The sequence below is a fragment of the Homo sapiens genome, chromosome 7 (genome assembly GCF_000001405.40).
Source record: "Homo sapiens chromosome 7, GRCh38.p14 Primary Assembly".
In the NCBI taxonomy this organism is placed as follows: Eukaryota; Metazoa; Chordata; class Mammalia; order Primates; family Hominidae; genus Homo; species Homo sapiens.
In genome coordinates, this window is record NC_000007.14 from 45,858,979 (window position 1) to 45,885,798 (window position 26,820).

Here is a 26,820-nt window from a genome sequence, read left to right on the forward strand (position 1 = left end):
TTAATTGAAACATAACAAGGACCATAAAGCATTCACATCCTTTAACACAGTCAACTTCTGGATCCTATCTAACAAAATTGGTAGACACAAGTACAAGGTTTTTTTATGCAAAGGTTATCACTGGTATTTATAATGAGGAAAAATTGGGAATGGCGCTGGATAGAATTTTAAAGACACTCCTCTGTATTCCATGACCCCAGTCTCCAGAAGCTGTGAGTGGGATGAGACACTACCACTTCCAACAGTGCGATGGGCTCTGTGATCTGGCACACCGGACCTCTCATGAGCCCTTAAAACAGAGAACTTTTGCTGGCAGCAGGAACGGCCAGTCAGAGGGATTCCAAACCTGAAAAGGTTTTGTTCAGCCCCTGGTGACTTGAAAGTTGAGGCAGCCAGGTGATGAGGAAGGCAGCGGCCTTCAGGATCTGGGAGCAGAGCAGCCCCCAGCTGACAGCCAGCAGGGGAACAGGGAGCAGACCTCAGTCCTACAACCACAAGCAACTGGATCCTGCCAACCTGAAGGAAGCTGGAGATGGATTCCTGCCCAGATTCTCCAGGTAAGAAGCCACCGTCTCACCTGGAGAGAGCCCAGGCAGAGACCCAGCTGAGCCACCAGGACTGTGAGATAATGAATGGATATTGTGAGTGCTATTTGTGGTCATTTGTTATGTTGCCATAAAAAATTAAAATGCAACAGAAACACTAATAGAAAATAATACACAATAGAAAACTGATATACAAGTTAGATGATTTAAACACATAACATAGGTGTGTCTTATAACGCAAAGCTGGCAGTGCCCAGAAATCAGGTCTTTGAACCACACTTGGCTACAAGGAGGCAGAGGGGTTCAGGCATTGTGTGTAAATATATTTATTTTAGGGAAAAAGGGTTTGATTTCAATAAAGATGAGTTTGTGGGCATTTTAAGTTGAATAGAAACTGTACAAGAATGCACTTCCTTTCCTCATAGGTTTTGTCATGCGCGTCCGTGTGAAGAGACCACCAAACAAGCTTTGTGTGAGCAACATGGCTGTTTATTTCACCTGGGTGCAGGCAGTCTGAGTTTGAAAAGAGAATCAGCAAATGGTGGTGGGATTATCATTAGTTCTTACAGGTTTTGGGATAGGCGGTAGAGTTAGGAGCAATGTTTTGTGGGCAGCGGGGGGATCTCACAAAGTACATTCTCAAGGGTGAGGAGAATTACAAAGAACCTTCTTAAGCGTGGGGGAGATTAAAAAGAACCTTCTTAAGGGTAGGGGAGATTACAAAATACATTGATCAGTTAGGGTGGGGCAGAAACAAATCACAATGGTAGAATGTCATCAGTTAAGGCTATTTTCACTTCTTTTGTGGATCTTCAGTTGCTTCAGGCTATCTGATGTGTATGTGCATGTCACGGGATATGATGGCTTAGCTTGGGCTCAGGGGCCTGACAGGTTTCAAAACTGCATTTTCTGCAAAATACATGGGTTCGCATACACAGTGAGAGTTAAGATCTATTTTATCCCAAATAATTGCTGCAAGTTACATTATGCTTACCTCTAAGTGAGCATTGTTGGTGTTATTACCAGGGCTATTGTTTAGCTGTTTATTATTTTCCTCAAAGATGATCATTTAGAAATCTTGCCCTATGTCTAACATAAGCGGGCAGCACTCATTTCTCCGTGTCCCTCAGTCTGAGAATGCCCTGTCTCCCTTTCTAAGTTTCTCATCGTCTCCTGTCCCCAAGAATTTGGAAAGCTTTGTAGCAGCCAAACAGAGACTCAGTTCCATAGGCATGTCTAGGCGCTGGGGCAGCAAGACTTGTTCTGTCTTTAGCTGCTTCCTGTAGGTATCTTCCCATGGATGGAACATGTGATGTGCACCATTTGTGAAATCCAAGAGATTGCATTTTGAACACTTTAACTAGAGTGCCTATGGATAACTGCATATACTCCAAATATGTAAAAACATAGTAAGTACATTGTGCTAATATGTAGAAGATGCAATATGAATATCTAGGAAATCATCTTATATGTGAAAACATTCTTCTGAGTGCTGATAATTCCCAATCTTTCAAGGACACACTTCCCCAGAGTCACTCACATTATTTTTCTTCCTCCAGGGACTCATTTTGAATTTGAATTTCATTCTTTGAAAAACGAGATAGAAACATAACTACATGCCTGAATCACTTTGCATCAAACACAGACCACGGGAATAGTTCTCATGAAAACAGTTTATTTTTAATAGTAAAGACTGGAAAGAATTACTCTGATGTATTTATCTCTATGGTGTGCAATATAGGCAGTTTTTTTCTGCTTCTTTGTACTCTAATTTGTAAAATAAACATTTTTTAAATCTGATAATTTTGTAACCCAATAATATATAAGTTATAAAAAAAGAAAAAAGTAAACTTTTTAATAGCTTATACAGGAGGAACTAGTTCATAAAACCTATAAATGTTTAAACACACTACACAGTAAATAAATTTTTATCACTCATATAGAACATCCAATGAAATATGAAGTTACTGTCTAACTGCAGCCGCTATATCTAATCCCTCCTGTGAAGAATCTCATTCTCTGTTGGAAACCTCCAAAGAAATGTGGGTGTTTCCAGGAAGAACCCAATTATTGATCAGGAATATTTTCCACCCACCCTGCAGATCTAAACTTTTCACCTGTCTCTTAAAACTGAACATCCTAGACCTCACATGCCCTTAGAATCTATTATGTCCTATCTTTTAAGCCAGTCTGAGCCTATGTTTTAAGCCAGTCTCAGATTTCATCTAGGGGTTGCCCTTCTCACTGACTCCAGATGCCAGCCCACCTGTCCGCACACTTGAAGGGAGGCAGTGTAGGACTAGGCTGGAAATGTGTGCATTCTTTTTAGGAAGTAGAAAGCAAGCTTTTTAGAGTGGATGATGCAAACATTTATATGAATAAACTCTAGCTCTGTATTTAGTAACCATAACATGTCCACACAAACAGGTCTTGCTGAGATGCCTGTACTTGGGAGAATTGATGCTGACTTTGGGTTAAACTGAAGCTACCTGGACATCTCTTTCTTCTTCCTTACAATATGTATTACCTTCGTATTATTGATCACCTGGGTGGGACCCTGATGTTAAGCAGGGAGCACAGCGTTGGAGAGTGTAGGGGGTTGGCCCATGTAACTGTTAAAGGTTAAGTTCCTCTAGCCCTACACACTCAACAAACACAGCCAGCACTCTCAGATTTCCAGAATGCCTTCCAGGTGAGAATCACGGTTTTGGGGCTTTCCTAGAGTGGCATTTCAGGCTCACTAGGATACCTACCCTGCCCCTGATACCAGGTGTGGTGACTCCTGGAGACTTCTCAGCCATGCAGTGTGGGTGGACTGGCCTCTGAGTTCCTCTAAGCTTCCTTGCCTTTATCTGCAAACATCCTGGGATCCCACAGTCTGGTTTCTCCTACAGCCTATTGAGGAAGGAGGTAGGTACCCTCTAGGGGTGGGACTATGGGCACTCCCCTCCTCTCAAAACCTGGTTCCTCTCCACATAAGGGAAGGGAACATACATCCCTCACCATTGGTGCTCCAATGAGACCACCATAACCATAGGGTTGGAAACCCACCATCCAGTGCAGAGATTTTCTTTCCAGTTCCTGCTTCAGGCCTTCAATCCTGCTGTCTCAAATATGCTCATGGGGCATTGGCCCAACTCTTTCCTGAGAAGGCTGAGTGGCTACGGCCGCCCTCGCCTAGACATCAGCTCCACAGTCATTTCATCAGTCTGGGATGGGGTTTCCTCATGTGTCAGGTAAGGAACCTGAGGCTCAGACAAGCAGAGAGCTGTCTCCAAGGCCAGAGCTGGGCAGTGGAAAACCCAGGGCTCAAGTTACACACCATGCAGAGCCTTGTCTTCTTTAACCTGCCACCTCTGCTGACCCTCATCAATGTCAATGCCTCCCAGAAACACATTTACAGTCTAAGCAACAGGATCTTCTCAAACCTGTTTTTCCCACCCCATGGAGAAGGGCAACAGCATTGGGGGCCAGCCCAAGGAGGGCACCATGTGGACGATGAAGCCAGCCCAAGGCAGGCAGCTCTAGAGCACCCTGCCTTCCTGTCCTGGCACCAAGCACTCAGTCATCTTCGATGGTGAGCTCATGCTGGGTGGCTTCCTCAATGTTCTGAAGCACGTAGATCTCCCACTGTCGCACTCGCTCCATCTGTTTAAAGGAAAGGCATCACCCCATAGCAGCATCCATCTTTACTGGAGACAAGCTCTTCTGCTGCAAAATGTGCTTTAGAAAATAAATGCCCACTCAAGGTCTGCAGCTGGCCCAGCCAGCCCTATACAATTCTGCCTGTGTGCTTCAAACATACTTCAAATGGGATACTGTGCCACCCAGAGGGCCCACTCTTGGTGTGGAGACAGACGAGTGTATAGGTGAATGGGGTAAGGTGCAGATGAAGTCTGTGTCTGACAAAGGAGGGGACAGGGACAAAAAGTTCCAGGGAAGGGGCAGACAGGCTGCGAGCATGGAGTAGACGAGCCTGCGTGGGAACAGGTGCATAGGTCAGTCTAGATGGGATTTTGTAACTGTGCTCTCTAGAACCCCCTCTTCTAGGAGGGTGTTTAGGGCAGCTGCAGCAGGGAATGAAGGAGGCCTCCCCAGTTCAGCACAGGGAAGACGAGGATGGGTAAACTCCTGACACTAAACACGATGCCAGGATGGAGTAGAGACTGGAACCTGGGGATTTTGGGTGGCTGAGTCAGATCACGTGGAGTGTAGCTGGGGTCCGCTGGCCAACAATGGCAGGCCCACCATGGGTCAGTGGTCAGTGTCTTCCTAACGCCCTGAAAGTGTAAGACAGAAGCAAACCCACAGGACTGAGAATAAGGAACGAGAGTGGCCTCCAGAGGGCCAGCTGTAAGAGCAGAAGGCCTGAGCCAGAGCCAGCAGGAGCCACCGGGAGGCGTCCTGGAGCAGAGACAGAGTGGCCAAAGCTCTAAGCACCACTGCTGGCCAGCAGAGAGGGCCAGGCTGGGGTCTGCAAGATCCCATGATCATCTGGTAGGAGGACCAGCGAATTCCCAGTGCCCCTCCCTACCCGAGGCAGGGGCTGCCTTCCTGGTGCCCAGTGTTTATGTCCGTCCACAGAGGGTGACCTCTAGGGAGGCTGCTGAGAGCTGAGGCTCTCAGAGGGCTGTGTGGCGCAGGCACTGCCTGTCTGGACTCCCAGAAACTCAGTTTGTCACAGCGACTGAGGAAGATGCAATAGCCTCTGATCCCACAGAGGGGCCTTGTGGGGATCCAGGCTCAGCTGGGGGCCGCTGGGATGCTCCATCGGGAGCATCCACAACATGCGTTCCACATGGGTTGTTCCCCACAAGCTCTACCCATAGTGAGAGCTTCAGGTCCCTTCTCACCTTCAGCTCCCAGAATACCCCAGCCAGTCCCACCTCTCCTGGCCGCAGGTGGGAACATTAACCCATGGGGATGCTGACTAGCAAGAGGTGGCAGATGTGGTGCAGTGAAGAAGCAGTTAACCCCCGGGTGACCCTTGGTGGACAGTTCCCACTCGGAACTCGGGGCTTTCCGTCAGCTCCCACCCAGCCCTGTGATGGCCCCCTCCAAATCGGGAGGCAGCAGCCAGGCACAGCCACAGGACAGCAGGGCATGGAAGAGAGGCTGGAAAACTCCACTGCAAAATCAGCACCCTCAGAAGGTGAGAGAAGACAGCAAGCAAGCCAGGGTAAAGAACATGAGGGAGTGTGGCAAGGAAGAAAATATCATCATGCAGTAACCTCGGAAGACAGAACTGAGCAACTCTCCTAAAAAGTAGAAGAAAGGGCTAAATAGCAAATAGAAAAGAAACTCAGAGAATCAATCAGGATGTCCAACATCCAACTGCAGAGGATCACAGACGGAGAAAGAACACAGAGCCCAAGGTTAGGAAGGAAAAGTAGGGGAAGGTCTTCCAGAGTCAGATGGGCCCAGGGAGTGTCCTGCAGCTGAGCAAGACTACTCACCCCAAAATGAAACTCAGCACCACCAAGAACCACAAAAGGGACCTGGAGAGGCTTGGGCAGGTGGGAGTCAGGGACAGGGGCACACAGGGCCTTCCAGTTCTGAGAAAGGGCTCCAAGACTGCTGGCCGGAAAAGTGCCCCTTCTCAGGAAGCTACTAGAACAAGGCCAGAGGATAAACCAGGAAATGGGCGAGGAGGCAGAATTCTGCCAGGAGAGGGCCAGGGCACCTCCCAACTGGCTGCTACCCTGGGGATCAGAGCCCTTGCAATCCTCTTCTCATTGGGTCCTTTCAGCTTCACAGCATCTCCAATTAGCAAAGGAAGAAGATGGCCTCTGAGAGTAAAAAGTAGGTCTGAGACAGTGTGTGCCCTGCTGGTTCTCCAGCTGTGGCAAGGGCCTGCAAACCTGGCTATGGTGAAGGTGGGACATCCCTGTCACAATGGTCCATGGAAAGACACCAGAGCCACCCTAGCCAGGTCCTTAGAAATGCAGGAGTGCTCCAGGAATGTAACAGCTCCCTCTTCAAAGCATAGGAAGATGCCAAGAGACTCAGCACAGCCAGGCAGATTTTTACTAGAATAGGCTGTTTTCTGCTATTCTGTAACAAGATGACATATCAGACCTTCCCTGTCACCCCAACATGTCTGCAAAGCCCCAAAGCTGAAAGAGTCATCACCCAGACTCCTGTGAGCTAAAGAGCAATGACAAAGCAGCCAGCCAGCGGCAGCCTGGGTCTGGATGCCAGACCATGAGGCCAGGAAGCTCATGTTTACCATAGGCAGCATCAGTCACGGGGGCCCTCAGAGCAGAGAGCTGTCTTGGGACAGGGCAGCAGCAGGTGTCAGAAAGGCTGGACAGCCTTGATCCTGTCCCATGTGACCTCATGTGCAGAGTAAGGGTGTGTTGGCCCCCAATGCCACGCCATGGGAGCATTAATTGGGGGAAGGAGGGTGTTGAGTGCTCCATGTCCCAAGCAGTGCTCACTCTCCTAATCTTCCACAGGGACCCAGAACTCCTGGGGGAAAGGGATGGGGCAGGGACAGGGTTAATGCATACCGCAGCTGCCCGCTTCTTCGGGTCTCGTCTCTTCCTCCCTGTTGTGTTCAGGATCCCAGGCAATCCAGGGTTTTGTGCCCAGCTCTTTGCCCGGAGGGACTCTTGCTGCTGCTGCTGCTGCTGCCGCTGCCGCTGCCGCTGGGTTAAGGAGGCTGATGTGGGCGGCTCCTCCCCAGGAGCTGAGAGATCCAAGCTGGACTCCTTGGAGGCCCAGAGAGTAGAAAGCCTCCTTTTCCTAACAGTGGCTGGAGGGCTGACCCCTGCTGGGTGGGATGCAAGGTCCTGAGAGAAGTGTGCAGGCATTGGGGACCCACTGAGATAGGAGGCACCTCCCGATGGCCTTGGGCTCCAACCCAGGGCTGCCTCCTCAGGGGTGCTGTGTTTCAGGGGCTTTCTCAAGGTGGGGCTCCTGATTGCTAGAGAGGGGCTCTCATCCTCAGAGGAGCTCAATCCTAGATCCTGCAAAGTAAAAACAGAGTTTTGAGTCCTAGAAAGTCCTGGGGAGCCTTGAGACAGGCACTAAACTCTGACCCCAGGCACATTCTTATTTAAGCATGATGGCCCCATGAGGCAGACCTAAGTTGTCGCCCAGAGAGGGGAGTGTGCAGAACCCAGGGGCAGAACTGCAGGCCCTGAGATGGAACCCTGCACAGGGCTAGACCACGCCCCTCTGTGCTTGCCTTTTCATGGATGTAATTATTGTCAAAACAGTAAGCATTGTCAGAGATGTATTTTTCAAGAATAGGATTGAAGCATAGATAACATTCAGGTAACCATATTTTTCCACCAAGAAAAATCTGTAAGGCATTGTCAATGAAATCATCCTGACTTGTAGACTCACAACATAAAAAGGCAAAACTGTTGACAAACATTGTAGTATTTTATGAACAGGTGAAGCACACTGGGCAGGTGGCTTGCAGTAGGTGCTGTGTGCCCTGGAGGTAACATCCCAACCCCAAGCCCCAGGATGGACTGTAACAATTCCATCACAGCCAATGTTTTCTTCCAAAAGAATGCCTTAAGTGAATCATGCTCCTGCACTCACACCCTTTTCTCAGATCCTGATGAACTATACCCGGCAAGCACATTTGTGTTCACCATAAGGTATGTGCCTCTGCAGTGCCCCTTGAAGTCTGTCCATGTTAAAGTGACCTGACAGCAGATTGAGTTGTCCAATTGCTTTGTAATGATCTCTTGGTGTCTCAGACACACACATGCGTGCTCCTAACTGGTATCTCCGCACATCTGGCCGATTTACTACCAATGGAGGTAACTGCCAAAGCAATATCAGATTTTTCATTTTATGTTTAATCCCACTTGAATGGAACAATTTCCGGCATTTATTTTTTGGTAGTAGGAGTAACAGTGCCCAGTTACAATGTCTGCTGCAGGCAATGACATCCTAAATCAATTAAGGAAGCCACTGTCATTCAGGGTGTAGAAAAAACTGGAACTTTTCTAAAAGAAAAGAATGTTAAAAATGGAATGATTTTAACATTTCCTGATGCATGCCTGCCAATACCGTATAATTAGCAAGTGCATGTCCATTGCCTGGACAGAGCCAGCAATCACAAGAATGCAGAATGTACCTAGGAGAGACTCAAAAAAGCACATCAGCATTCCTGAAAACAGGTCCACTCCAGTCTAAGGTGAAACCCTGAGGGCTGCACCTAGGAGTCCACCTGCTCAGGACTGGCTTGCAGCTTCTTCCCAGGCTGATAACTGTGTCATAAGTTCAAGGACGTCACCACTTTGCTAAATTATTGTATGCATTTGTACACAGAGAGGATTATCTGGTAGTTAATTTTGGGGGAGGCACAGCTAGAAACCATTTTAATGATGGTGAAGTAATAGAGAGCTAAGTTTCTCTTAGAACAAAGAGATAGATGAGCACTTGCTTTAAACCTGAGATGGATTAGGGATATTCATTCAAAGTGGTGGGAAAGTATATTAGTTATTTACTGGGTAACAAATACACCAAAACATAGTGGCTTAAAACAGACATCTGTAATTGTAATTTCTATGGGTCAGGAATTTGGGAGCAGCCTCTCTGGGAAGTTCTGGCTTGGGGTCACCCATGAGGCTGTCATTGAGGTATTGGCTTCATTCATCTGAAGGCTTGACTGGGGATGGAGGTTCTATGCCAAGGTTGCTCACTACCCACATGCCCTGCAATTTGGTGCTAGCTATTGGTGGGAGGCCTCAGTTTATTTCTGCCTGGCCTCTCCAGGGGCTAGTTGAGTGTCCTCCAGATACAGAATAGTCTTCTCCAAGGAGAGTAGGCCAAAAGAGCACAGCATGGAGGCTGCAATGTCTTTGTATAATCTAACTTCAGAAGTCACACTCCTTCATTTCTGCAAAACCTATTGCTTGCACCAGTCAGTTTTCTTCAGTGTGGGAGAACCCCACAAAGGTATGACTACCAAATTGTGAAGGTCACCGATGGCCATCTTAGGGACTGGCTGACATAGAAGAGATAGTGAAAATTGCATTTAAGGAGAAGCCACAGTCCCTGGTCTGTGGCTTCTCCCACCTCATCCCCAATGTGAGGCCTCAGGACTCCCCTCACTCTTCAGAGCACAGATGGCTGGACAAAGAATGGAAAGAGTCTTACATCATCCTAGGAGATGAGCCCTGTATTTTTCAAAGCCAGCACTCTGACATGGTTTTTGCATCCACTCTGGGGAGGACCCTTCCTCAACCACCCTGCCCTCAGCTTTCAGGGGAAGGGGCTGTAGCACTTAAACACAGCTCTCATTTTCTAAGTGAATTCCTCTTGTTAAAGTCAAACAATATAGAAACAAACAAGTTATACTAGAAAGTCCAGTTGAAAGTCCAGTCTTAACCTTTCTCTAGTCCTTCTCCCTCTAGGTAGTTTCCTTTAGCACTGTGTTACCTCTCCTTCCAGCATATTTCCATGTAAGCAAATATGACACATGCATTCCATATATAAAGGAAAAAACTTAGGTATCTGCATAAATGGAATCATAATACACATTGTTACATAGTTTTCCACATCCTTGACGATTTCTCATGTCACTGACTCTTTTGAACAAAACATGCACAATAGAATATTTGAATGTGGCATAATGAGATAGTATAGAAAGAGCTATGTGTTTCACTTCCCACCAAGGCCTTAGAATGAGGCCAGGGCAGAAGAGGTTTGAAAAAAAATGTGGTCTAAGGAAGGTTCTTCTTGGAACCATCTATTCAGTAGAGTGTGCTGGAACATTAAAATCTGTTCTCATTGATTTCTTATGCATTCTTATGAGGTAAGTATAATTGTAGTCAAGTCACCAGAGGAAATATTCAAACCCAGATGGCTTATTGGCCTGAAACAGAAGCAGCAACAATGAGGTGTGAACTAGAGTTGGTGAAACCAAGGCTTACCCAGGAGCAACTGTTCTGTGGAGGTCTGGCTTCACATCCCAAACCCGTCAGTCTTGGCCGGAAAGGAGGGAGGGAGTGCCTCCTCCTTTTGGGATGATGAGTTGATCATGACCACTTACAGAGCTTCTACTGTGTTGCTCTTGGAGTATGTTTATTTTGTACATCGTTTCCTTCAGCAAAGCCCTTAAAACTGGATTTGTGTGAACTCCAAATAACCTGAAGGATAGGATTTACTCCACAGCATGAGTCAGCATCAGAAACTGCCAAGCTGCTTTCCAACCTGCCTGCACCATGTTTCTATCCCACCAACCAGCATCCCGTACATTGCTGGTGGGTTGGAAGAATAGTACAGGCAAGCTGGAAAACTGCTACTTTACAGTTTAGTTGCTCCACATTTTTTTTTTTTTTTTGAGACAGAGTCTCGCTCTGTCACCCAGGTTGGAGTGCAGTGGTGCAATCTCAGCTCACTGTAACCTCTGCCTCTTGGATTCAAGCGATTCTCCTGCCCAGCTTCCAGAGTAGCTGGGATTACAAGCATGTGCCACCATGTCCAGCTAATTTTTGTATTTTTATTAGAAATGGGGTTTTGCCATGTTGTCCAGGCTGGTCTCGAACAGATGACCTCAGGTGATCCACGTGCCTCGGCCTCCCAAAGTGCTAGGATTATAGGCGTGAGCCACCGCAGCCAGCAGTTGCTCCACATTCTTACCCACATTTGGCACTGCCAATTTTTAATTTTTAAAAAAGTTTTCTGACAGTCTAGTAGTGCATCTCATTTGCACAAGCAGCATCTTACTTGCATAGTGGTTTTGATTTGCATTTCTGTAATGAGTAAAGAAGTTGAACATCTTTTCATGTATTTATTTACCATTGATATGACTCCTTTGGTAAGCTGAAAGAACTAGAAGCCAAATATATTTGTCATGTTAATAAAGGCAAACAATAAACTCACCTATTAAAACACTGAGATTGGGTTAGAAAGCAAAATCCAACTACACATTGCATACAGTGAGACATACCTAAGACAAAGTACTGTAGAAAGCTTCAAAGTAGAATTATGGGCAAAGATAATGCCACAGAAATGCAAATGAAAAAATGTGGACATCAATATTTATATTGGAAAAGGTTGAATTTATGGCAAAATACATGAAACAAGACCAAAACTGGAAGTACAGTGTAATAAAACCCAAAACCAAAATGCATAGCTGTTATGATTACAACAGACAATACAGCATCAACATTCATAGAGCGAACTCCTAGGAAAAAAATACAGAAAATCAGAAATAAAGTAGTAACTGAGACTGATTCACCTTTTTAAGCCCATGCTAGATCACGGGGCGGGCGGGTGGAGGAACAAACCAACAACAACAAAAAAACCAACAACAACAAAATCAAAATCCCATAGAAGATTATCTTGTTACTTGGAGAATAATCAGCACTGGAAAGACTTTAAATTCTTCAACTTCAAAAAAGAGATTGAGATCTCAGAGTAAAGTTAAGAAATGGGGGTGAGAAGACAGACTGGGACTTTTATCAAACAGAAACTGCAAGGTAACATTAAGTATATTTTTATTAACAGAAACTACTTTTAACTAATCTATTTATAAAAGTGATCTAAAAATCAGTACTTAAATGTTGATAATTTGATGTTTTCTGATAAAATATTGTAATATATTGAAAGCTTACAGAGAAAACAATTTAGTATGTTTTACAAATGTATGCCCAGAACAGATGACCCAGACATGCATAGGAGGATGTCATGTGGCAGAAGGTACATCTCAAATAATTAGAGAAGAATGTGTTTTTGTTCTCTTTCATCACATCTTCTTCTGGCTGGTTGGCCACTTGGGAAAAAAATAATAACAGCAAAGCCAAGTCCCTGTAACTCATGGCTTACACTAAAATAAATGACAAGGAATCTAAGATTTTAAAAATTCATAAATTACCAGAAAAAAAAACAAAAAAATTAAAAATCTGAAACAAAGTCGGGTTCTTATATCACATTGTTCACCAAGATAACTCCAAGTGGATTAAAGACTTACATGTAGAAAAGAAAGCCATAAGAGTATTAGAAGGAACTATCAGTGCATTATCTATAAACTTATGTAAGGCTTTGCTATGACTTACAACATAGAGGCCATAAAAGAGCTAGACTACATATAAACTTATAAAAACTTCTACAATAAAAAGGAAAGAAAAAAGATACACCAATGCAAAGACAAAAGATGAACCACAATTTCTATAGAAGATAAACAAGCAGTGAATCTTCCTATTTAGAAAAACATCCAACAACCTGATGGATAAATCCACACAGTTTCTTAACAGTTCATAGAAACTGGTCCTTCAGTATACACATGCTGAACCTCATTCTCAGTAATAAAAATGCAGATCAAAATGAAACCAAATTCCCATTTGGTTTTATCTATCGGACTTCAAAAATTTAGAAGTATGAAAACTTTAGACAACACAAGGAGGAAACTGGAACACCTTCTATGGAAGGCAGTTTGGAAACTGGAACATCTTCTATGGAAGGCAATTTGGTAGCACTCAAATTTGTAAGTTAGTATTCTATTTGGACACCAACTCCCCTTCTAGAGAGTTACTCTATAGAAGGATATTCGAAACAGCTAAAAACAATGTTTCCTTATGGTGGGGAAAGGGCTGGAGGACAGCAGTGGTCACTGTGCATCTTATGCTTTTGAAATTTTATGCTCTTATACTTTTGATCACTTTTGAAACCACAGGCATGCATTTTCTATTTATAAATAAAAAATAGAAAAAGAATCCCTACTTCTCTGACGAAGAAGCCCAGGCACGGGAAACTAGGAATGGGGTGCCCAGGACTGCTGGGTTGGGAGAGGGAGTTACTTCTCCATCCAGCAGGCGGAGCTGTAGGCTCCAGAGCTGTATGCAACGCAGGGTGCTAAGGACAGGTTTTAACTTCAGGTGGGATTGTGATCTACTTCTGCAGGATGGCATTTCCTTTTGCATCTAGAGCATGAGGTGTCCTGTCACTGTGCCCTGGGGCTGCTGGTCCCCTTGGTGGCCTGGCTTTCCCTAAGGGCTGTGGCTAAGGTGGTTCTTAATGCTGAGGTTCCAAAGGCCTCATGAGACAGGCCAGGGGAGGAGATGGAGGAGGACCAATGCCCAGTGTCTCAGGACAATGTCTGACCCCACCTGATGTCACTGAGATTGTGCGTGGGCTCTGGGGAATCTGGAGGGCCTGGGACACACCTGGGGCCTCAGAGCCCAGGCTGATGAGATGTGGAAGCCCAAGGGCTCTGGCAGAAGATCTCTCCTGCAGGCCATGTCGTGGGCATCAAGAGGAGACTCTGGGCAAGGCTCCCGAGGACCCCAGGGTGTTAGTGCCCGGCCTGCCCAACCCACAGGCCACCAGGACCAGGCCACAGCTTTGTGCCAGCTCAGGACAGGGCCAGGCCTAAGGCCAGTCCTCAACCAACCTCTTGCTCGGGCAGCCTTGAGGGCCCTTCCTTCCTACCCACCCGCCACCTCTTACTGTATTCAGCTAGATCTCATTCCCAGGCTGCACCCCTCCCCACCTACCTGCACCCCAGGCTCCATCCTGCTTTGCCTCTGGGGCTGGCTTCCAAGTGGGCAGTTGCAGCGCCCACCCTGTGGCCCTCAGCACCAAGAAATACCTGCTGTGTCCCCACTTAGGCCCAGGTAGGTATGCAGGAGCCCACCCGAGCCAGAGTTAGCCTGACGGCCACGCCATTGCACAGGTGTGGGGCAGGTTTCCCTCGCCCTCTAGGTCTTCCCCTTGTTGGTTTCTGTTGTGTGCACCTGAGCCTGTGGGAAGTGAAGGCTGGCTGGGCACTTGCGCCCCACCCCCCCACCCCCCAGCAACAAGCCACCTGTGCCAAATACTGTTTGATGTGCATCATAACCACCTACGGGAAAGGAGATTACCACCCCAACTCAATCCACAAGGCAACTGGAAAAAAAAAAAAACACGTTTCCATGTCAAGAAAAGAGGACCCACAACCACTGGACTACAAGGTATGTTTCTCTGCAGAAGACTCCTTACCAGTCAGTCCTTCATTGAGTGCTTCTGAAACTTGAGCTGCTCAGAACCTCCTGGAGGGCTTGTTAGAGCCCAGAGCGCTGGGCCAGCCCCAGTTCCTGATTGGGCAGGCCTGGGCAGGGACCCGTGATTGGTATCACCTAACGACTCCCAGGTGTTGCTCTGCTGCAGGTCCACTTAGGAACCACTGCACGAATGAAAGGCAACACGTGCCACAGAGTAATGGTAAATTAATCTTTACCAATCTATACTAAAGCTGATCTATACTAATAGTAATCTCTAACCATGCCTTAACTTTTTTGGGGAATGAAACTAAAAAGAGCAATTCAGAAGCTAGTAACGACTAGAATGATCTGTGGTAGTTTGTTCTTAGACATAATCTCAGTTTTCTAACAACCCCAAAGCAAAGTTTTTAGTGTGCCTATTTTATTTTATTATTCATTTACTTACTTTTTTTTTTTTTTTTTTTTCAGACAGAATCTTGCTCTGTAACCCAGGCTAGAGTGCAATGTGATCTTGGCTTACTGTAACTTCTGCCTCCTGGGGTCAAAGGATCCTTCTGCTTCTGCCTCCCAAGTAGCTGGGACTACAGGTGCATGCCACCATGCCTGGCTAATTTTGGTACTTTTTTGTAGAGACAGGCTTTGCCATGTTGCCCAGGCTGGTCTCGAACTCTGCGTGATCTGCCCGCCTGGCCTCCCAAAGTGCCAGGATTACAGGTGTGAGCCACCATGCACGGCCAGTAAGCCTGTTTTAATAAGGGAAAGACAGCCCATAGTTGTGGGGCAAATTGCTGGAGTTTACCTAGTGGTATTTAGCAGAACCAAGACAAGAACCCAGGACTGTCTGACTCCAAAATAAGTGCTTTTTATCCCTTGCTACTCTGTATTGTTTTTCTGAACTTTGCCACTAAGTTGCCATGTGATTTTGGTGAATGAATGCTGTCACTGGCTCTCTCCTTTCTCTGTAAAATGAAGTGCTATGTGAGGGCTTTCCCAGCTCTGAAACATCTGCACATAGGAACCTAAATGAGGAGGCACGGCTGCAGAGCTAAGCGGCTCTCAGCACCCAGGCCTGTGTACAGCACGCAGAGCTGAGGCCTGCGGTGAATGCTCACCCTCACCCTCTGACTGTCCGCTTTCAGAACACTCAGTGGCAAGAGAGGTTGAGATCCCTGAATCCTGGGTTCTTCCTGAGGCTTCAGAGAGCACTAGAAAGGGTTTGTCAGAGAGCCATCCCAACTTGCCCTGGTTGGCGCAGAGCAACACAGCCGGGTGACTGGCTCCAGGTTCAAGTGCTGAGAGTGGCTCGAAATTCTTCTACCCTGGGGGTGGGGCTCTAGGGGTACAGCCTTTCTGGAGTGCAAGTTGGTGTGAATGTATGATACACTTAAAAGTATGGATGGCCTTGAACCAGCAATTCCACTTGTATGAGTATGTCAGGAGATAATCAAACTGAGTCATTCCTTATTTCCTGTTACTGGTAGCCATGGAGTGTTATCTTTAAAAGCCCAAGTAGATGCAGTGTGCAAAGCCAGGAAAAGGACACTGATGAAATAAATTAGAATGAGTCTGAGGGAAGGAATACTTTGCAGCCAGTATGTGAGTATGAACATGTGTATGTGCATGGATGTACACATGTGTGCATACACACACTACAGAGAAGATGTTTGTGATATATTAAAGGAGAAAAAAGCTATAGAATAGACAGTATAGTGTGATCTCATTTTAAAAATGACACAGGGTTGGGAACAGTGGCTCACGCCTGTAATCCCAGCACTTTGGGAGGCTGAGACAAGTGGATCACCTAAGGTCAGGAGTTCAAGACCAGCCTGTCTAAAATGGTGAAACCCCATCTCTACTGAAAATACAAAAATTAGCCAGGCATGGTGGTGTGCACTTGTAGTCCCAGCTACTTGGGAGGCGGAGATACGAGAATTGCTTGAACCCGGGAGGAGGAGGCTTCAGTCAAAAAAAAAAAAAAAAAAAAGAACAAAATTAACACAGGCACATATGTACACACATATCCAAAAAGAGACACACAGAAATGGTAGCGTTTGTGACATCCAGATGGCAGGATGGTGGATAAACTTTAACATCACTTAATTGTTTCGCATTTTTTCTAAAAACAACACCTAATGAATAAGAGTGTTTGAAGGTAAAGCTCCCTTAGCACCGTCAATTCATTTTCCAGATGGGGAAACTGAGGGCAGCAGAAGGGAGAGGCTTGTGCAGAATACTGGAGTGAAGCAGCGGGGGCTGCTTGGTCCCGGTTCCCAGTTCCTGCTCAGGTCTCTCTTCCCTGCACTATGTGCCACCTGGGCGTGACTGAGGACAGAGTGGTTTGTTCTTAGACTGGAGTCTTGAATTACTTTTGAAAGCACAAAAGTCTAAGTTCCCTGTCATAAGACCTTAACAGTTCCAGGCAAGGATGAAACAGATGCACATGACAAGTATTTGTCAGAAGTACCACTTGGCCCCAGAATAGTGGCCTGCAGAGATGACCACGCCCTATTCCCCTGAACCTGTGAATCTGTTCTGTCACATGGGAAAAGAGACTTTGCTGATGGAATTAAGGGTCAGACCTTAAAACTGGGAGAGTATGCTGGGGAGTCAAGAGGACAGCAGAGTGTGTCCTGGTTAGAAGGGGTCAGAGGGCAGGAGAGAGGGGCAGACAGCATCAGAGAGCCATCAGGGTGAGGCCATGTTGAATCTTGTAGAGGACGAAGAAACCACAATGACTTTCCCAGAGGGCCCTCTTGAGCACAAGGAAGAAAACAGTAACTCAAATGACTACCATGACAACCCTCTTACCTGGTGAGGAACCCTGACCTCCTATAGTGTAATTATTTTCTATCACAAGGACTGATACAGAAAAATCTGATGTGGCAGGTGCTATTCCATTTGCCAATGGGAAAACTGAGGCACAGAGCTATCAGGCTACTTGCCCAAGATCACAGAGCTGCCAAGGACCTAGCCTGGACCCCATCTCATGTCCCAAAATACAGCACAAAGCTGGCCAGGCCACCCCCAGGGCTTTCTGACTTCCAGGTCCCCAGAGTTGCCTCCTCACTCTAGGGTTGCCCTGACCTCTTGACTTAAGGGTTGCCCCAACCTCCTGAATCTCAGGTCTCTGTGACCTCCTGGCACATAGGTACACTGGTTTGGGCAGTGTAAGGATATTTTGTTTGTGTCTGTGAATAATATAATTGGGAAATCAAAGTGTGTTTCCACACAGTGGTGTTAGCCTGGCACTGGGTGGCAGCCGTCAGGTGCTGTCATGGCCATCACTGGGCAGCAGCCAGGGGAGAAGCCATGCATGTGCCTGCAAGCTCCTGGGTCCAAGCCTAGAGCCTGACACATTCTTTTCACTGGGTCCCAGGAAAGCTCTGCAGCACAGAATCCCAAACCTCTCACTGCGCAGGACACACAGGCTCTGAATTCAGATGCGATCGAAGTCCAAGCTGCCAGTTTGGGTATGGCTGCTAGTCAGCCATGTTGAAACCCCATTAGGGTTACATACAGTGCTTGTGGAAGTGGTGGCAGGATGAGGTTCAGAGCCCAGCTCTTGTCATCTTGCTGACATGGGCCTTGGAGGGGACACATAGCCCTGGACGATGAGAGCCCCTCACTGGGTCTTGTGATAAGGTGTAGAAAATCCTCAAGACAGTGTGTGGCATGTGGTAAACTCAACAACTTTTAGCACCTTCTCTCTCTACATCTTCTACCCACATTGTTACAGTCATGATTTTCCACCTGCATTTCCCTTCTCTGCCCCCATTTCCATTTCCATTGAATATATTTTTGTGGAAACTCCACCACAACAGATAACATGTTGTTTTCTACACAACCAGTGTGCTCTAGGTTTCTTTTGACCCCAGGATGTAAATAAGTGGTCAGTACTCTTTGTAAAGCACCACAAGGCAGGGAAAACTATTGTGTTAGTCTGTTCTCACACTGTTATAAAGAAATACCTGAAACTGGGTAATTTTTAAGAAAAGAGGTTTCATCAGCTCACGTTTCTGAAAGCTGTACAGGATTCTGCTTCTGAGGTCATCTCAGGAAACTTACAATCACAGCAGAAGGCAAAGGGGAAGCAAGCACTACCTTCACATGGTGGAGCAGGAGAGAGAGAGGAAGAGGAGGTGCTATACACTTTCAAACAAGCAGTAGTAGGGGATGGTGCTAAACCATTAGAAACCACTCCCATGATCCAATCACCTCCCATCAGGACCCTCCTTCAGCATTGGGAATTACAATTCAACAGGAGATTTGGGTGGGGACACAGAGCCAAACCGTGTCATTCTGCTCCTGGCCCCTGTGAAATCTCATGCCCTTCTCACATTGCAAAATACAATCATTTCTTCTCAATAGTCCCCCAGAGTCTTAACTCATTACAGCATTAACTCAAAAGTCCAGGTCCAAAATCTCATCTGAGACAAAGAAAGTCCCTTTCACCTTGGGCCTGTAAAACCAAAATAAGTTAATTACTTCCAAGATACAATGGGGGTACAGGCATTGGAAAATGCCCCCATTTCAAAAGGGAGAAATTGGGACTTCAGGCCCCATGCAAGTCTGAAACCCAGCAGGGCAGTCATTAAATCTTAAAGCTCCAAAACAATCTCCTTTGACTTCACATCCAGGCCACAGTGATGCAAGGGGTGTTCTCCCAAGGCCTTGGCATCTCTTCCCCTGTGGGACTGCAGGGTTCAGCCCCATCAGCTTCTTTCAGAGGCTGGCATTGAGTGCCTGCAGCTTTTCCAGGTGCACAGTGCAAACTGTCAGTGGATCTATCATTCTGGAGTCTGGAGAATGGTGACCCTCTTCGCACAGCTCTACTGGGCAGTGCTCCAGTGGGCCCTCTGTGTGGGGTCTTCAGCCCCACATTTCACTTCCACACTGCCCTAATAAATGTTCTCCATGAAGGCTCTGCCCTTGTAGCAGACTTCTGCCTGGACATCCAGACATTTCCATACATCCTCTGAAATCTAGGCAGAGGCTCCTAAGCCTCAACTCTTGCCTCTGTGCACACACAGGCCCAACACCACGTGGAAGCCATCAAAACTTGGGGCTTACACCCTCTGAAGCAATGGCCTGAGCAGTACCTTGGCCACTTTTCACCATGGCTGGAGCTGGAGCAGCTGTAATACAGGGCACCATGTCCCAAGGCTGTATAGAGCAGCAGGGCCCTCAGCCTGGCCCACAAAGCCATTTGCCCCTCCTGGGCCTCTGGGCCTGTGTTGGGAGTGGCTGCCCCCCTAGGTCTCTGAAATGCCCTGGAGGCATTTTTCCCATTGTCTTGGCTATTAACGTTTGATTCACCTTTACTTATGCAAATTTCTGCAGCTTTGAATTCCTCCCTAGACAATGGGTTTTTATTTTCTACTACATGGCTAGGCTGCAAATTTTCCAAACTTTTTCACTCTGCTTCTCTTTTAAAAATAATTTCCAGCTTCAGATAATCTCTTTGCACATGCATATGAGCTGATGCTATTAGAAGCAGCCAGGTCATGTCTTGAATGCTTTGCTGCTTAGAAATTTCTTCCAGCAGATACCTTAAATCATCTCTCTCAAGTTCAAAGTTTAACAGATCCCTCGAGCAGGGGCAAAATGTTGCTAGTCTCTGCTAAAGCATAGCAAGATTGACCTTTACTCCAATTCCAAATAAGTTCCTCATCTCCATCTGAGAACTCCTGAGCCTGGACTTAATTGTCCATATCAGTATTAGCATTTTGGTCACAACTATCTGAAAAGTCTTTAGGAAGTTCTCAACTTTCCCTCATCTTCTGTTTTCTTCTGAGCCCTCCAAACTGTTCCAATCTCTGCCCCTTACCCAGTTCCAAAGTAGCTTCCACATTTTAAGGTATATTTATAGCAATGCCTCACTCCTGGCACCAATTTTCTGCATTAGTTCATTCTCATGCTGCTATAAAGAAATACCTGAAACTGGGTAATTTATAAAGAAAAGAGGTTTAATCTCTTCATGGTTCTGTGGGTTGAACAGGCTTCTGCTTCTGGCAAGACCTCAGGAAACTTACAATCATGGCAGAAGGCAAAGGAGAAGCAAGCACCATCTTCACGTGGCAGAGTGATGGGGAGGAGGTGCTATACACTTTCAAACAAGCAGCATTAGGGGGATGGTGTTAAACAATTAGGAACTGCCCTCATGATCCAATCACATCGCACCAGGCCCCTCCTCCAACAGTGGGAATTATAATTTGACATGAGATTTGGGTGGGGACACAGAGCCAAACCATATCAACTATAAACTTCATTAATAATCAACTAAGTGCAAAATAACCTAACACAGTATTGCTTTAAAATTACTGTATCTGGCTGGGCACAGTGGCTCATGCCTGTAAGTCCAACATTTTGGGAGGCTGAGGTAGGCAGATCACTTGAGGTCAGGAGTTTGAGACCAGCCTGGCCAACATGGTGAAACCCCATCTCTATTAAAAATACAAAAATTAGCCAGGCATGGTGGTGGGTGCCTGTAATCCCAGCTACTCGGGAGGCTGAGGCAGGAGAATCACTTGAATCTGGGGGATGGAGTTTGCAGTGAGTTGAGATTGCACCACTGCACTCCAGCCCGGGTGACAGAGTGAGACTCTGTCTTCACACACAAAAAAATAAAGTTACTGAATCTGCAAACATGATAACGTCAACATATAATACTGCTGATATTGAAGTGAAACTTATACTCTCATACATTGTTGTTGGCTGTTTAAATTGAGATGAAGAGGAGTTATTTTTTATTATTTTATTATTTTAAACTTGGAATTTTATCCTGAGAAAATATCATTAGGAAAGGAAAGGAAAGATTAAAATGATTGCAGCATTATTTGTAATGAAGAAAAGTTGGAAACAAACCACAGTCCAAGTCCCCCAAAAGTAACATGCTGTGGTTTTCATAAACACATGATCCTCATACGGTAACTCCAGTGATGGCACCCTGTGTGATATGCACACCATATGCGGGTGATGGCACCCCAGGTGATGGGCACACTGTATGCAGGTGATGGCCTGCCAGGTGATGGGCACACTGTATGCTGGTGATGGCACCCCAGGTGATGGGCACACTGTATGCAGGTGACAGCACCCCATGTGATGGGCACGTTATATGCAGGTGATGGTACCCCACGTGATGGGCACACTGTGACTTGGGGAATGAGACTCCCACTCTTTTTACCTCAGGGTCATTGCTGCCTGGCCATGTCGCAAAGTCCTGCAGAGCCAGGGTCACCTGTCCTTAGTGCTTGCCGCCGTGTTGTAATTGGCAGGCTTTGCTCCAACTCAGTGTGTGTAGCGAGTGCAGCAAGGGCCTGGGGACCTGAGGACAGTAATTTGACAGCTCCATCCTGGGGTGGGAGAGGTCCTGCTGCCCCTGTGGGGTGACCTATTATGGGCTGGGTGAGTGGCAGCCCTGGTGTTTGTGTTGGACTGATGGCCTCACAAGCACATTGAGGTTTCTTGCTGACAGAATCCCCATGGGGGTCATGGCATGAGTTCACGGGGCCAAACTGGTATGGGAATTTTCACCTCACCAAAGTGATGGACACTTCCCACCATCTAGTGAATTCAGGGTTAATCAAACAACACCACATCTAACGTAGTACAGTCGTGACTTTCCTGAAGCCCATGCATGGTCCGGGTAAGTGTCATCTTCTACCAAATCATCTTAGTTTTTATATGGGTGGCGAAGATTCTTGGGGGAATGAGATGCATGTGTCTCCTGGGAGTGAGCAACAGGGAGCTCTGGTGTCCTGGTGGCTCGTCCTCATTTCCCTCCACCACCCAGGCCCTCTCACCACCCAGCTGCAGCAATGATAGCTCTGCCTCTTTGTTTCTTCCCTCAAATGTGTCCATTACCCTAATCTCTCACTTCTTATGGAGTGGTTTTGTGCAAGTGCGGGCCCAGAAGTGCTTTGTGAACCCATGGCCTCAGACTTGAGCATGCAACAGATTCTCCTAGGCGGCTTGCCTAGTAACAGAGTGTGGGATGCGCCCCCAGAGGCCGGAGTCTGGGGTTGGTGTAGGGCCTGGGGATGGGCCTTTCTACTCATCTAGGTAGAAATGCCAATTAGTGAGTGACCGTGGTCTAACCCACCCCCCTTTACCAGAGGTGAGAAATTAGGAGGGGTCTGTCACCTGAGCAGCCTTGATGCGGGGAGAGCATAACAGAATGAAGACGAAGAGCACCTGCCCTATGTTTGGCACTTGATACCTGCCCTCTTTCACCCAACCCACTGCACCCTGAATGCAAATGCTTCGGGATGGCCTCGCTTCCATCGCCAACACTGAGATTCAGACCCTGGTCTTCTGACAGGGTCCCTTGGGCTTTGGCCTGGACACATCTGTGCTCCTCCTGTGTTTAGAAACTGGGTTTTGTTGACGTGACAAGAGCTAGGTGACTTTTCCACTTTGATTAGTGGGGAGTGTGGGCGAGAGCTATTTTTTCAAACTTTCCCATCAGTTTGCCAAGCAGTGTCCTTCATCAGCTTGGGAGATAAGGGCAGCACGTCGGGCCTTTGCACAGATTTACATCATCCCCTGTGTTGATCATGGAACATAAGCAAAACATCACTTTGTTTTTTTTCCCCGTGTTAAAAACAACTTCCTTTCTGAGGTGTCCCTGGATTGCAGCATTTCTTCCCTTTGAAAGTTTGACTTTGCCCTTGACTCTTGTATTGTTTTTCAGAGCATGGATTGCCCAATTTTCAGCTGCTGGTGAGTAAGCAGCACACTGCACGAAGGCAGGATTGGGAAGAGCAGATGATGGAAGCACCCGTGTGACTGCACCACCCCAGAGGTCCCAGCCTCTGCCGTTGGCAGGAACGAGCCACCGTGCTGCTCAGGATGACAATAGCTCCTGTTCATGCAGTGCTTTCTTGTACCAGGCAATCCATCATCCCCATCTTACAGGTGAAAAAACTGAGGCCAGGGGCTTTATGCAACATGCTAGGACATAGAAATCTAAGGCACAAAAACAAACGGTCTTGCTCCAGAGCTGTTCTGCTGTTGATACTTCCCAGCTTTCATGACCTCCCCTTCAAGGGCTAACACAATTGTCAGAGTTGAGTTGTTGAGTGCAACGGTCAACATTTGTTCTTGCGGTTCCCACAAGAAAAAGACAGATGTGTTCTGAAGTGCCATCAAATTGCTGGCAGAGGCCGTGTGTGGCCCTATTCATAGGCACCCCCTGGAGTGACACAATGGGACTGCTATGATTATGTGTCCCTCACCTTTTCTGAATCACTGATAGTGGTTTCCTTTTCTTTGCAGCACAGAGAATTTGCAATGCGGCAGGAGGTCTCCTGGTCCCCGGTTTAATACCCTTTTTTGCTCAGTTGATTGAATACAAATTCCATGTCTAGCACTGAAAGCTTTCCACACTTACCCCAAACAACTGTTCATCCCTGCCTCCCAAAATATGCTCCCAGTTGCCCCTGCACATACAGACATTTTTGGCCCTAGCCTACATAAAATGCCTGTATGGTATGGCAGGAAGGGTAAAGGCTTTGATTCGGGTGAAGAAGGGGCTTCATCTCCAGCTGGTGGTGATGAGACCTACTGGCAACTTTGGCATGTGTGGCTTGGCATGAGGTATGCCCAGTATAGTAAACGTTTATGAAACACTAGCTCCCCCACCCCTCCCTGCTCTTGGTGCTCTGATTCCAGGTGTCCTGTGAAATTGGATTCATAGTTCTTTATCAAATGGGCATGGGGCACCTATTGGTGCCTGTGTGGTGCTGGACAGAAGGACATCTATGTGCTTGTCCCCTGTTCACTAAACCAGGTGAGACACACACACACCCCAACACACACACACACACAGAAGTACGTAGATAGGCATTTATTTTAGCTCTTCAGCATGAGTATAACCCAATGTGAGATCAAGCATCAGGATTGCACAGGGGGGCACTGAAATCAGGCTGTGCAGAGGTGAGGACATTTATGGTGGGTCCCCAGGGATGGAGAAGGGGTCATAGGAGGAAGGAACAGTGCCATGAAGATATAACTGAGGCCAGAATGGTCCTCAACCTTTGGGTGGTCAAAGGCCCATTAGAGTCGATGACGACTCCCAAAGACCACACGGAAGCACACAGTTGTGCAGTTGGCTCCAGGGAGTCCGAGGGGCCTTGAGCTACGGCATGGACCTCGTCTATGGCTCTCTGACTTTTCTTATCTGTCTCTAACTCTTCCTCTCACCAGTTTTGGTCACTATGTGGGCCATCCCATCTGAAGCATCATTCCATACTCCCCTTCCTGATGTTCTTTTCTTTCTTTCATGCATTAATCACAAGCTGCAGTGCATTTGTTAAAGTATTTGTTTACTATTTTTCCCCCTCTACATCTTTGAGGGTGGGGCTCTGCCTCCTTCATGGCTGATCCTCAGCTTCTGGGTGTCTGGTTGGTGCTCAGAAGGGGTGCAGGAATGAGGGGTCCCCAGGCGCCGGCTCCCTCCCTGGTGATCTTCCAGAACCGATCTTTCTTTCTTTTTCTTTCTTTCTTTTCTTTTCTTTCTTTTTCTTTCTTTCTTTTTCTTTCTCTCTCTTTCTTCCTTCCTTCCTTCCTTCTCTCCATCTCTCTCCTTCCTCCCTTTCCTCCATTCTTTCTCCCTTTCTTTCTCTCCTCTCTCTCTTTCTCTTGAGACAGGGTCTCACTCTGCCACCGAGGCTGGAGTACAGTGGTGTGATCATAACTCACTGTAGCCTCAAACTCCTGGGCTTAAGTGACCCTCTCACCTCAGCCTCCTGAATAGCTAGACTACAGTCATACACCACCATGCCTGGCTAATTATTTTTATTTTCACAGAGACAGGGTCATGCTTTGTTACCCAGGCTGGTCTCAAATCCTTGGCCTCAAACGATTCTCCCACGTCAGCCTCTCAGTGTTGGAATTACAGGCGTGAGCCACTTTGCCTGACTCAGAACCTCCTTTCTAAGGATATCCACTCTCTTAGCCTGCTTATACCCCTGTGGTGGTGGCCTGCTGCCCTAATGAGGAGTCTAAACCCCTTTGCACAGCCTCCAGGCCTCTTTGTGCCTGGTCCCCTGCCTGCTCCCCTGCCACTCCCTGCCTGTTATTCCAGCTCCCAGCAGGAAGAACTACTGGCTCTTCCCTGAACACACTGCACTCTTCCCAGCTGTCTGCTGTCATCCCACCATCATCTCTATTCTCCCACATTGCACACCCCATCCCTTTGCTGCTTGGGGGAAGGCCACTTACCCTCCAAGACCAGCCATGGCCAGCAGCTTATGGAGACGTACCCAGACACAAATAGACCTGCTGTCTCTTCCCACCTCACTTATCCTAAGGGTCAGGTTGTAAGTAGCCCGCCCTTGACAGACCATCCTCCTGCTAGATGGGGGCAAGACTGTGGCTCAGTGTAGGGCATCCCATCACTCCTTTCCCCCACACCTAGCTCAGTACCTGCCCTACATTGGAAGGGTACCTCCCTTCCACTCCACTGCGGTCACTGTTGGGTGAGGGAAAGAATGCAGACAGAAGCTTGGGAGCTTGAGATGGAGAAGCTGGAAGGAAGAGCAATTCATTCTGAGGGGGCAGCCGCAGGAGGTGGGGGATATCAGGATAGAGTCCTGCAAGAAAGAGTTTCCGGGATGGATGGAAGAGACCATGGACTTGATAAGCATGATAGGGTGATGGAAGTTCAGGCACTGAGAACAGCAAGACCAGAGTCATGGGGTTAGGGTCAGGCCAACTGAGGCTGAGGTGCAGCAGGTCCGGAGACCTCTCTCCCAGGGCCCACCCTGCACTTCCCAGAGCTGAGAGATGCACCTCCTTTCATGTCTCCCCTGGGCACTTCCCCAGCCTCCCCAGTCAGCTGTGAGTCAGAGCACTGGGACCACCAAAGGCAGGCCAGGCTGTGACCCCTGCCAGGGGGCAGTGGGGCTTGGGGATTCATGAATGTTCCCAGAAATGGCTGTGTGAGCAGTCACATCATCGGCTGTAACTCCAACCTGCCAGGGCAGGGCCGCTCACTCCCACACAGGATGGACGGATGGACAGTCGGCCTACACAGGCCTGTAGGGAGGGGCTTGGCTCCATCTGTGTTGACAGAGGGTCAGGAGTAGGAGGAGAGCTCTCTCTTGATTTGGGGGCTGTTTGGTTTGCTGTTGCTATGAAGCAAGCAAGGAAAACATTTGGGAAATCGATCCTTGAGGGGAGGAATTTTCACTACATGCAGGACAAGTGAGACCTCAGGGAGGATGGGTGGGACGAATGCTGAGCAAGTGCACAACTATCCAGGGCGGAGTACACTGCCTGGCACACAGCAGGTGGCCTCTAGATATTTACCAAAGAATTGC

At 47.3% G+C, this 26,820-nt stretch overlaps 1 protein-coding gene across 2 annotated transcripts, besides 1 other annotated feature; it reads right to left on the reverse strand.

Annotated features, from left to right (window-relative positions):
- Positions 1 to 1,015: 1,015 nt before the first annotated feature.
- On the reverse strand, positions 1,016 to 26,194 carry CCDC201 (coiled-coil domain containing 201). 2 transcript variants are annotated; one of them, XM_047419863.1, is made up of 4 exons: positions 25,925 to 26,194; positions 8,133 to 8,330; positions 7,058 to 7,516; positions 2,084 to 4,193 (listed from the first exon to the last, which is right to left on the reverse strand). In XM_047419863.1, exons 1-4 carry the CDS (start codon positions 26,192 to 26,194, stop codon positions 4,107 to 4,109), a joined length of 1,014 nt encoding a protein of 337 aa, XP_047275819.1. In that variant the 3' UTR covers positions 2,084 to 4,106. The 2 variants fall into 2 exon arrangements, with proteins under 2 accessions (NP_001382164.1, XP_047275819.1); NM_001395235.1 differs by lacking the exons at positions 8,133 to 8,330; positions 25,925 to 26,194 and adding an exon at positions 14,012 to 14,104 and having other exon boundaries at positions 1,016 to 4,193.
- Positions 19,572 to 20,090: an enhancer, noted in NCBI's record as "NANOG hESC enhancer chr7:45918149-45918667 (GRCh37/hg19 assembly coordinates)". NCBI's record gives its function as "activates a minimal SCP1, AML or CMV promoter by ChIP-STARR-seq in primed H9 embryonic stem cells {active_cell/tissue: H9 hESC(primed)}" and the evidence as "EXISTENCE:reporter gene assay evidence [ECO:0000049][PMID:30033119]".
- Positions 26,195 to 26,820: the final 626 nt, after the last annotated feature.